Source organism: Homo sapiens, chromosome 1 (assembly GCF_000001405.40).
Source record: "Homo sapiens chromosome 1, GRCh38.p14 Primary Assembly".
Taxonomy (NCBI): Eukaryota; Metazoa; Chordata; class Mammalia; order Primates; family Hominidae; genus Homo; species Homo sapiens.
The window spans coordinates 246892359-246904798 of record NC_000001.11 but is presented as its reverse complement, the minus strand read 5'-3'; the positions used below and the strand labels follow the sequence as shown (position 1 = coordinate 246904798).

At 38.8% G+C, this 12440-nt stretch overlaps 1 protein-coding gene across 9 annotated transcripts in view; it reads left to right on the top strand.

The window, feature by feature from the left end:
* Positions 1-12440, top strand: part of AHCTF1 (AT-hook containing transcription factor 1) — a 92851-nt gene that overhangs the window by 27150 nt on the left and 53261 nt on the right. For all 9 annotated transcript variants that reach the window (NR_136586.2, NM_001323343.2, NM_001323342.2 and 6 more), the window contains exons 7-14: positions 766-850; positions 2124-2274; positions 4330-4462; positions 4553-4734; positions 5287-5348; positions 6463-6591; positions 8874-8964; positions 10051-10140. Coding sequence is in view for 8 of the 9 variants with exons in the window: in NM_001323343.2 (NP_001310272.1) it covers positions 766-850; positions 2124-2274; positions 4330-4462; positions 4553-4734; positions 5287-5348; positions 6463-6591; positions 8874-8964; positions 10051-10140 (923 nt within the window). In the remaining variant the exon portion in view is untranslated. The remainder of the gene's footprint in view (positions 1-765; positions 851-2123; positions 2275-4329; positions 4463-4552; positions 4735-5286; positions 5349-6462; positions 6592-8873; positions 8965-10050; positions 10141-12440) is intronic.

Sequence of the window (12440 nt, the reverse complement as noted above, 5' to 3'; positions counted from 1 at the left end):
TAATAGGAATTATTAAAAGGGATCAACTAGTAGTAAAATTCAGATTCAGATGATGTGGCTCTGGAATCTATGCTCTTAACACTTACTGCATGCTTCGTGCTTGAGTTCACTACAGGGTTGATTTAGTATCTTCACTTTGTGTCTTGATAGGCCTCTCATGGTCGAGGGCAACATCCATATTTTAAAAAAATTTTTTCCCCACCCTTCCCCCAACTGCCCGTTCTCCTTCCCATACTCCCCATTGTCCTTTGAACCTCTACATTTTAAGTAAAAATAGCAAGATGGAGGAAGAGACCAGGATGAAGGCATAAAGGATATTTTGTTTATTAAGGAAGGTTCTGTGAGGTTACTATGGGATAATTCTGTTTACATCCTGGCCACAACTTTACCACAGGGTACTGCACTTAGCTGCAAAGGAAGCTGGGAGATGTTATAGAACTTTAGGCAACCATGTGTTTAAGTAGAGTATAACCATTGAGGAAGGAATATTTGAGAAAGAATATTGAGTAATCAGTCTTTGCTACATAAGATATCTCCTACAGTATGCAAACAGCATCGATTTAGTTGATTAGAATCAATAATAAATATCAATTATTATTTCAAAGGACTACATTTTTATAAAAATTACCGAAAACTAAATTTTTCACAGTGATTTTAGTTTTGTCACATGCACTCAACATTGCAAGCAAACTAAACTTACTTGGACAGTAAGAGATGTTTAATGTATTAATATATTTAGCGTGTCTTCGTTAATTTCTGTTTCAGTGAAGGGGATGTTTTGAGTTTGCATCTGCTGCAGCTGGCCTTTGGTAATAGAAAGTGTTTGGCATCAGGACAAATCTTATATGAGGTAAATGGTCATTGGACTATGGGTTTATATTACCATTTTGTTGTTTTCTATTTTAAATATGTTGTCTTTGTTTTAAGATATTGAAAAGTGATTCTTTTTTTTTTTTTTTTTGAGACAGAGTCTCGCTCTGTCGCCCAGGCTGGAGTGCAGTGGTGCAATCTTGGCTCACTGCAACCTCCGCCACCCGGATTCAAGCAATTCTCTGCCTCAGCCTCTGGAGTAGCTGGGATTACAGGTGCCCGCCACCACGCCTGGCTAATTTTTTTGTATATTTAGCAGAGACGGAGGGGGGGGGGTCTCACCATCTTGGCCAGGCTGGTCTTGAACTCCTGACCTCGTGATCCACCCACCTCGAACTCCCAAAGTGCTGGGATTACAGGTGTGAGCCACCGCACCTGGCTGTGAAAAGCGATTCTTATATTGAAGTTAATATTGTATTCATAATGTAGTAGAAGTAATTTAAATTAGAGATCTGTTTTACCTATTTACCCAGGTAGCATTCTTAACTTCTCAGATACCGTTTTCCTCTACAATGAGGGGACTGGACTAGATTCAAGCTTGTGGCTTAATTGGTACCCAGGAAAAATAATTCCACTTTGTTGCTCTAACATATCAAGCATTAAGCCATAGGGTGATTTTTATAAGAGGACATACGCGTCTGGGCTTTTAGATGGCTGCCTATTTATCTGGCTGAATTCCTGAGGAGATCGGAGGGGTGCTGCTAATAGCTGTATTTTGTTCACCCTCACATACCTGTCTCTAGAACCGACTTTTCTGAACCTAATGTTGGAGGCGTATAGAAACGGGTTTCAGGGAATCAGTAAAGGCCCTGAATTATGTGTTGCATTTTTATGGGCGAAGTCTCATAGCCTTTTGTCAGATTCTTAAAGGTATCAATAAGCTAAAAGTCTAAGAACTATTCTAGAGCAAGAATTTCTGTGAGAACACAGGTATAGTATTGCTGGTCTGAGATATATGCATATATAATTTTGATGGTTATTCCAGTTTACATACCAACCAGTAGTGCATGAGGGCTTCTGTGTTAAATAACTTTAGAAGACTTGTTGGTAATTATTTTTGAGAGACTAAATCTCACTTTTTATTTGTTTTAAAGTATGTAAAATTTTAGAGCCTTTTTCCATGATTGGTTCTCTTCAGTCTAAATTGTTTTCTTTGTATTGTGTGAACAATCTTTAAATTTGGAGAATATTTAATTTTAGAGTGACTTTTTGCCTAGAATCAGATTAATATTTGCGTGTATTTTATGTTACAGGGGTTAGAATACTGTGAAGAAAGATACACCCTGGACCTGACAGGTGGCATGTTCCCTTTGAGGGGACAGACGAGTAATACCAAATTGTTGGGATGCCAGAGTATAGAGAAATTTCGATCTCATGGTGACAGGGAGGAAGGCGTGAATGAAGGTTAGTTAAAGTACTTGAAATATGTCATGTGAAGGCTGGATTTAAAATTTATGACAGGTGTTATTTTCTAGATTTCATACTCCTGGCAGTTCAGAAAATTGGAATAGTAATTAACGGAATTTATTCAGTTCTATATGAGATACTAGATATTTCTTGCTCTCCAGATTGCTATGTATAACTAAACAATAAAATAGATTAGGGTAATGAAGGACCCTTTTATTTTAATCTAGTTCTCAAAACAGGCGATCCCTAGTCTGAACTAGTGTGAGTAGTCTTTGAATGAAGTTTACCCGTGTATTTTTTGAGCCATGTATGGCATACATGCCTTGGTTGTCTTGAATGTTTTCTCTGTCTTCTTTAGTGTCATCGCTTTTTCCTGGCAGTTTTTTTTGCATCGGTTTTTTAAGCCAAGATTATCGTAATCCAGCCCTATCACTAGTGATGACCTTTGACAAATTGCTTAACATTTCAGAGCTCTGTTTCTCCATCTGTAAGTGGGATCCTAGTTAGACCTTTTGCAAAGGGTAGTTGTGAGGATTAAATCACACAGCGAACTTACCCATCCCAGAAATGCCCTTTTTGCTAGGGCCTGTATCTGTATTTCTGATCCAGGTTTCAGATCCAGTTAAATATGTGAAAAGCACATGTTGTCATGAGCTCACGTCTTTTTAAAGTTTTTATTTGTTTATTTATTTAGAGACAGGGGTCTCACTCTGATGCCCAGGCCAGTCCAGGCCAGAGTGTGGTGGCATGATCTTGGCTGGTTGCAGCCTTGACCTTCTGGGCTCAACCAATTCTCCCATCTCGGTCTCCCAAGTAACTGGGACTGCCGGCACACACCACCACACCTGGCTAATTTTTGTATTTTTTGTAGTGACAGGGTGTTTTGTTTTTTTTTGTTTTGTTTTTTTGAGATGGAGTCTCGCTCTGTCCAGTGCAGTTGCACGATCTCAGCTCACTGCAAGCTCCGCCTCCGGGGTTCATGCCATTCTCCTGCTTCAGCCCCCTAAGTAGCTGGGGCTACAAGCACCCGCCACCATGCCCAGCTAATTTTTTGTATATTTAGTAGAGACAGGGTTTCACCGTGTTAGCCATCTCCTGACCTCATGATCCACCCGCCTCGGCCTCCCCAAGTGCTGGGATTACAGGCGTGAGCCACCGCACCTGGCCTGTTTTTGTTTTTTTAGAGACAGGGTCTCACTGTCGCCCAGGCTGGAGTGCACTTGCACGATCTCGTCTCACTGCAACCTCTGCTTCCCAGGTTCAAGCGATCCTCCCACCTCAGCCTCCTGAGTAGCTGGGACTACAGGTGCATGCCACAATGCCCGGCTAATTTTTGTATTTTTTTGTAGAGATGAGGTTTTTGCTGTGTTGCCTGGGCTGGTCTCGAATTTCTGGGCTCAATTGATCTGCCCACCTGGCCTTCCAAAGTGCTGGGATTACAAGTGTGAGCCACTGCACCTGGCCATGCTCTCTCTTATTCCCCATTCTTCCTATTTCCTTATAGTAGTGTTTCAGATTTTTACTTTCTTCTTCTCCTGTTGATGTCTCTTACTCTATTCCTGTCTTTCCATTCCACAGGCACCATCCAAGCACTTTTCTTTTTCTCTCTTTACCTTATAACTGGATAAGTCCTTCTCAGCTAAGGTTCATCATAATAAAGCCTTAATGCCCAAAAGCATCCGTTTTAGGTAGTGAATTAACTTCTCTAGTACTAGCTCCGTACCGTCCTTGCGAGAGAGACTGTTCATTCAAATCATTTTGTACTTTCTGCCTCTAATACCTCAACGTTGCTCAAGTATTAACTGAAAACAAGCAAGGATATAACTTCTGATGAGTGACTACTTTTTAATAAGGCCTTAAAATTGAGAAACAGTCAAAATGCAAGTGAATGAATCTGGTCTTACATACAAATGATAGAAATGCGTTTTGATGAATCAAGTGAAATATGAATTAAACCGCTTAATTTATGAGAAAATCTTGCTATAATTCTGTTGAGGTGATTTTACTTTGAGATTCTTTATTCTGTTTTTAAAAATTATCTTTTTCTTCCAGCTCTATCGCCTGACACTAGTGTTTCAGTCTTTACCTGGCAGGTGAATATATATGGACAGGGAAAGCCTTCTGTATATTTGGGGCTTTTTGATATAAATCGTTGGTATCATGCACAAATGCCAGATTCGTTAAGGTATGATTCTTTTTTTTTCTCTCTCCTTTCTCTTTGTATTTGTATGTGTAGCTGACCAATGACTTAGTAATGTTTTAAATTTTCTTTTAGGTCAGGAGAATATCTACATAATTGCTCTTATTTTGCACTGTGGTCATTGGAGTCTGTTGTAAGTAGGACTTCTCCACATGGCATCTTGGATATATTAGTACATGAGAGAAGTTTAAATAGAGGAGTCCCTCCTTCATATCCACCTCCCGAGCAGTTTTTTAATCCAAGCACTTATAATTTTGGTATGTATTTCCTTAACATTACCTCTTAAGAAAAGTAATGCACAAAAGTATGTAAATGTATACGTTGTGTAGTTTATTCATTTAGTGTTATCTGTTTGTATCTCACTGTTAGTTAACATATGGATAACTTAGGAAATTAATATATACACACAAGAAACTTAGTATTTATATGTTTTATAAAGGAATTATGACTTGGAGATATTTAGTATTTATATGTTTTATAAAGGAATTATGACTTATTTTGAACTTGCTAGGAAAGATATTAACTGTTTCACATCTGGTGCATTTTATAGTAGCTTTTATTTTTTTTGCTGTGTTTCTCAGCTGTGCTTGGAGTTTTTTGGGTTTTGTTTTTTGCTTTTTTCTTGTTTTGCTGTGTAATAGGTTTGTTATCTATTCTTAGGATGAAAATACCTAGAAAAGTTTATTTAAAGATTTATTACATGTAATAATTTGACACCTTGCCTTGCAGTCTGTTATTGGATAAATTTTGTTCTATTAATGCCATTTTAAATATATGTAAGTGGATTATTTTTTAAATCTTTTTTTTAGATGCCACTTGTTTGTTAAACTCGGGAGTTGTTCATTTAACTTGTACTGGCTTTCAGAAGGAGGTAGGTAACAACTAGTGATTTCTTAATTGAACTGAAGTCAGATCTTAGAATATAGTTGATTTATGGATTTAAGTTTTACTTAGTGATATTGACAGTTGTTTCAGCTTAAATGGTAGCTTCTGCTAGGTTTATGAGATTATCAACTAGTAGTATCAGTTACTAATGACAGCCTGCCGGAAGACGTATTGTATGTTTTTAGCAACTAATTTATGTAGATGCTAGCTACGTGAACCTCAAGCTTTCTGTCTCCTCAGAAAGCTTATGAGGAAATGAAGTAATGCAAAGAAGGCACCTAGCACAGTGGTATAGTGCCTGGCACAGGAAAAAAAAAAAGAATTTTGAAAAATACTTTTCTCTTTTTGAGACGGAGTTTCGCTCTTGTTGCGCAGGCTGGGGTGCAGTGACACCATCTCGGCTCATTGCAACCTCTGCCACCCAGGTTCAAGTGATTCTTCTGCCTCCGCCACCTGAATAGCTAGGATTACAGGTGCTCACCACCACGCCCGGCTAATATTTTGTATTTTTAGTAGAGATGGGGTTTCACCATGTTGGCCAGGCTGGTCTCGAACTCCTGACCTCAGATGATCCGCCTGCCTCGGCCTCCCGAAGTGTTGGGATTATGAGCGTGAGCCACCGTGCCTGGCCTGAAAAATGCTTTTCTAGGGAAGTATGATGTGGCAGACCTTTTCATTGATAATCGTCCAGATGTGGATGAATGCTGTATTTATACTTAATATCAAATCTCTTTCACATTAGATAAAGAGGAGTAGACTGCAGGAGTTTTCCTGTGTGTGTGTGTGTGTGTGTGTGTGTGTGTGTGTGTGTGTGTTTTGTCAAGATGTCACCAAATCTGTCAGCTTTAGAGAAGACAGCAGGGTTATACAGTTCATAAAAATATATAAGCTACCTTTTGCTAATAGTAGTATTCACAACTAGCAAGCATTGGTTAAGCTTAAGAACCTATAAACTCTGTTTCTTGCAGGAAATATAGTCTTTCATAATTTCCACTTGCTATCTTTAAATTTTACTTAAATTTTAAGTGTAATTAATTAATCTTAAATTTGATTATTCAAATTGAGCATTGATTGATGCCTTACTAATTTATCTGTTACAGACTTTGACTTTTTTAAAGAAATCAGGTCCATCACTCAATGAACTCATTCCTGATGGTTATAATCGATGTCTTGTAGCTGGCCTTCTTTCCCCAAGATTTGTTGATGTTCAGCCTTCCAGTTTAAGCCAAGTGAGATGATTTTTAACTCTATTGTTTCTTTTGGTTGGATCACGTTATTAGCTTTCTATTACAGTAAAAATGTATTAGATAATTTCTGCAAAAATAGGTGAAGTAGTGTAATGCTGACTCTGGGTGATCAGCAGTTGTGGTCTTAGGTTTGGTTTAAAATTCCTATTCCTAATACCCAATAGGCCATAACTTGGCAGCAGGTTGACTTAGCTGTATAGAAGGATACAGGACAGGAAACACCTCATGGCTGCCTCAGGCTGGAATGCAGTGGCATGGTCATGGCTCACTGTAGCCTCAACCTCTTGGGCTTAAGCGATCTTCCCACCCCAGCCCCCGCAAGTAGCTAGGACTACAGACAGGCACAACTATGCTTAGCCCTTTTTTTTTTTGGTAGAGACAGGGTCTCGCTATGTTGCCTAGGCTGGTCTTAAACACCAGGCCTCAAGTTACCCTCCCACCTTGGCATCCCAAAGTGCTGAAATTACAGGCATGAGCCACCTTGCCCAGCCTGTAATAATGTATTTTTACTGTACCTTTTCTGTGTTTAAATACACGTATACTTCATATTGTGTTACAGTTGCTTACAGTATTCAGCACAGTAACATGCTATACAGGTTTGTAGCTTAGGAGCAATATACATAGCCTTGATATGTAGTTGACTACACCATCTAAGTTTGTGTAAGTACGCTCTTACCATGATTGCACAACAATGAAACACCTAACGAAACATTCATCGGAATGTATCCCCATCATTAAGCAACACATGGCTATATGGAAAAATGCAATTCATTTTTGTATATTTATTTGATATCTACATAACTTTCAAGGTGTGCAACCATCAGCAAATAATAGACTTTTTTCGTTTATTTGTTTGTTACTACCTTTATTTTTTTTGAGACAGCATCTCGGTCTGTTGCCCAGACTGGAGTGCAGTGACGTGATCTTGGCTCACTGCAACCTCCAACCTCCTGGGTTCAGGTGATTCTCCTGCCTCAGCCTCCTGAGTAGCTGGAACTAGAGGCGTGTGCCACCACACCCGGCTAATTTTTTATTTTTAGTAGAGACAGAGTTACACCATGTTGGCCAGGCTGGTCTCAAACTCCTGACCTCAAGTGATCTGCCCTCCTCGGCCTCCCAAAGTGCTGGGATTACAGGTGTGAGCCACTGTGCCTGGCCAGTTACTGAGTTTTCTCATTGCAATGTGGTAGAACTTCTATAAACTATAGGTAATAATGTTAGTAGCAGACGTTTCTGTTTTGTCCCTGGTATTAAATATAAATGGCTTCAGTGAGTCTCCGTTTAGAGTCATGCCTTCTTAGGTTTTGTGGACCATTATGTAATTCCCTCTGTGCCTGTTCAACTTACATTCATGGGATTCCTTTTTGAACATCTTTTAATTTGCTCCTGTAATGAATGAAATTAATAGGTTCCTGTGATATTAAACCAGACTCAGTGATTTTCAAAATATCAGCTTTATTGAGATATTTCATACACCGTGCAGTTCAGATATTTCAAGTGTACAGTTCAGTGATTTTAATTCACAGAATTCTGCAACTGTCATCACATTCCATTTTAGGACATTTTTATTACTTCTAAAGAAAGTTCTATGCCCATAAACAGTCACTCCTTTTCCCTTACCTTCCTGCCTGCCCCATCCTACCCAGCCTTACATAATGACTAATCTACTTTCCTGTCTTTATAGATTGACCTATTCTAGACATTTCATATAAATGGGTCAAATAATATGAAGTCTTTTGTGACTGTCTCATTTAGCATGTTTTCAAGGTTCATCTGTATTATAGCAAGTATCAGTACTTCATCCCCTTTTATGGCTGTATAATATTCTGTTGTATGAGCATACCATAATTTGTTTATCTACAATTAATGGGCATTTGTGTTGTTTCCACTTTATGGCTATTAATAATGGTGCTGTGAACCTTCATGTGAAATTTTTGTTTGGGCGTGTATTTTTGTTTCTTTTTGGTATATACCTAGGTGTGGAATTGGAGGGTCGTGTGGTAAGTCTATGTTTAGCATACTGAGAAACCGCCAAACTGCTTTGCAGAGTGGCTGTTCCATTTTACATTCCCACCAGCAGTGTATGAGAGTTCCAGTTTTAACACGTCCTTACCATGCTTGTTATTGTCTTTTGATTATAGCCCTTCTTATGGGTCATACTGATTTTTTTAGCCTTAAAATTTTTAAATTCTAAACCAGAACTTGCCTATGATCTCACACCCTCTTTCTTTCCATTTCTTTCCTTTCTGTAATGCATGGTTTAGGAAGAACAGTTAGAAGCTATATTGTCAGCAGCAATTCAGACTAGTTCCCTGGGACTTTTGACTGGTTATATCCGAAGATGGATAACAGAAGGTAAGATTCTGATAACAAGTAAAATGTTTGGTATTTTTAAAGTTATCAACTTGCTATTTGTTATATTTTTTTCTTAGTTATTTTAATTTTGATATAATTGAAGATCCACATGCAGTTGTTAAGATGCAATAGAGAGATCCCACCCCCTTTAGCACGTTTGCCCACAGTATGATGATCTGACAAACCTTTAGTACAGTCAGCACCACCAGGATCCCTCATGCTGCCGTTACAGCCATACCTACCTTCTTTCTGCCCCATCCTTAACCCCTGGCAAGAATTTTGTCATTTTAAACATGTTCATAAATGGAATTATGCAGTATGTAACCTTTTTGGATTACCTTTTTTACTCAGCAAAATTCTCTAGGAATTCATCCAAATTGTTGTGTGTATCACTGTTACTCTTCACACACATACACACACACACCCCAAACGCATATTGTCTGTTCAGAACCATTTGAGAATAGTTTTTTTTCTGAACCATTTGATGATAAGCCATCATGCTTTTGTAGCCCATAAATATTTCAGTATTGCTGCTTCTAAGAATAAGGACATTCACTTACAAAACCACTTTGTGATCATAAAAAATCAAGAAAATTAAGACTTTTATCTAACCTAGAGACCTTATTGAAATCCCAGTAATGTCCTTTATTTCAATTTAGAGGGTAGAGAGAGCTCAGAATCATGCTTTGTATTTTGTTTTTTGGAAAAGAGATCTAGAATAGTTTGTATGTAATTGTTTTTATAATTTCCCTTAATCTTGTACATTTTGTCACTTTGTCTTTCAAAAAATTGACCTTTTTTTTTTTAAAGGAATTAGGCCTTATTTTATAGACTGCATTTTAGTTTGTGCTTGCCGTCGCTCCTCATGATTAAATGACAGTTTTTGCATTTTTGGCGGCAGCATTACCTGAAATGACGTGCTCCGTGGTGTGGTGCACTGAGAAAGTCCATTTTCCCAAGTTGCCTCCCTGAAGTGTTGATGTTCACTCGGTTAGGGTGCTGTCTGCCATGCTTCTCCACCAACAATTTAGAACTCTGTTTGTAATTAATAATCTTTATTTTTTCCCTTTTGTATTTACAAATAAGAACAACCAAATTCTGCCACTAATTTGCGCTTTGTTCTTGAATGGACGTGGAATAAAGTGGTTCTCACAAAAGAGGAATTTGACAGACTATGTAAGTATTAGAGGTCTAGATGTAGGACAGAATTTAATATTAAAATACTAACCTTGGTTTATGTCTTAAGTACATAATTTTTAATCATTTTGAAGTTGTAAACTCTTTTCTTTTTTTGAGACTGAGTCTTGCTCTGTCGCCAGGCTATAGTGCAGTGGCGCGATCTTGGCTCACTGCAGGCTCCACCTCCCGGGTTCAAACGCCATTCTCCTGCCCGCCACTACGCTCGGCTAATTTTTTTGTATTTTTTAGTAGAGACGGGGTTTCACCGTGTTAGCCAGGATGGTCTCGATCTCCTGACGTTGTGATCCGCCCGCCTCTGCCTCCCAGAGTGCTGGGATTACAGGCGTGAGCCACCGCGCCTGGCCTGAAGTTTTAAACTCTTAAAATTTGAAGATGTCCCAAAAGAAAATTATTTCTTTTTACATTAAAGTGATAAAAGTAATTTTTTTTTTTGAGACATGGTCTCACTTTTTGCCCAGGCAGGAGTACAGTGGTGAGTTCATGGCTCAGTGCAGCCTTGACTTTTTGAGCCCAAGTCATCCTCCTGCCTCAGCCTCCTGAGTAGCTTGGACCACAGGCACATGCTGCCTCACCCAGCTAATTGTTGTATTTTTTGTAGAGACATGGTCTCACTATATTGCCTAGGCTGGTCTTGAACTCCTGGCCTCAAGCGATCCTCCTGCCTGGGCCTTCCAAAGTGTTGGTATTACAAGGCGTGAGCCACTACATCCAGCCAAAAGTAATTTTTGACCAAGATTTTGCAGCAGGTCATTAAACTGGCAACATGCTGATATGCCTACAATAGCAGGTTTTAGGATTATAACTTGTCTTTTGGTCTTAGGAGTTTAATTTACTAAATATACTGATGATGGAGTAAGCGGAATGTGCTAGGTAACCCTCAGAAGTTTCTGTACTTAACTCACTTTCTATTTAACATATTGATAGAAATGATGAAGTTGAATGGCAGGGTAAAAATGCATCACTGCTGTCCTCCATGGATAGATGTCGTTATTATTGTGGCAAATCATTTTCCTTCTTGACAGTTTTATTAATCTGTTGTTCATTTCGATTGAGTCTTGAGGTATGTCATGAATATTAAAAACTATCATGTCCAGTTAGTGCAAAAATAAGGCTAAAAAGTACTAGTAGGGATACAGTTGCACTGTAAGTGAAAGTAAAATTTATTTAGAGGTAAATGTTTTAGTCATTTCTCTTGTGTCATGATGAGTAAACAAATGGACTTTTGAAATGATTTGACTATAGATAGCTTTTCACAATGTAAGTTAAGTTATTCTTAGTAGAGGATTTTTAAACCAATCAAGTTCGTTAGGAAGACATGGCGCTTTCTAGTGTTTTTAGACTATACTTATGAAACTGTTGTCATGAAATAATTTAAGTGTTTCAGTAATCAGTGTGATTGAAGTCTGTAAGAACACTATCAGGTGTTTAGGATCAGAGTAAAAATGTCCTCATTTTTTTAAGAGGAAAATGTTTGTCAGAGCTCATGTTTTGTAAAAAATTAAACTCAATTCATAAATTGAGTTTTGTTATTCTTTGAGAATAATGTAGTGTTGGGGGTTTAACTTGGTAGTTCAGCTGTTGCTGCTTTGACCTTTGTTACTGGTAGGTTGGGTTTTTTAAAAAATAAAAATAAAAACCTCTAAGAATAATTAACATACAAAGCATAGTAAGTGTTTTAAAAGTATTAGAGATTAGGTGTGGTGGCTCAGGCTTGTAATCCCAGTACTTTAGGAGGCTGAGATGAGAGGATTGCTTGAGGCCAGGAGTTCAAGACCAGCCTGAGCAATATAGCAAGACCCCCGTCTCTGCAAAACCAAAAAAAAATCTTTTTTTTAATTAGCTGGGCAGGGTGGCACATGCCTATAGTCCCAGCTCCTTGGGAGGCTGAGCTAGGAGGAACACTTGAGCCCAGGAGTTTGAGAGTGCAGTGAGCTGTGATCGTACCATTGCACTCCAGCCCAGGTGACAGAGTGAGACCCTATCTCAAAAAAAGTATTAGAAGTAAAGCAAATTAGGTCGGGCACAGTGGCTCATGCCTGTAATCCCAGGACTTTGGGAGGCCGAGGCGGGCGGATCACCTGAGGTCAGGAGTTCGAGGCCAGCCTGGCCAACATGGTGAAACCTCATCTTTACTAAAAATACAAAAATTAGCTGGGTGTTGTGGCACATGCCTGTAATCCCAGCTACTCAGGAGCCTGAGGCAGGAGAATCCCTTGAACCTGGGAGGTAGAGGTTGCAGTGAGCGGAGATTGAGATTGCACCACTGCACTCCAGCC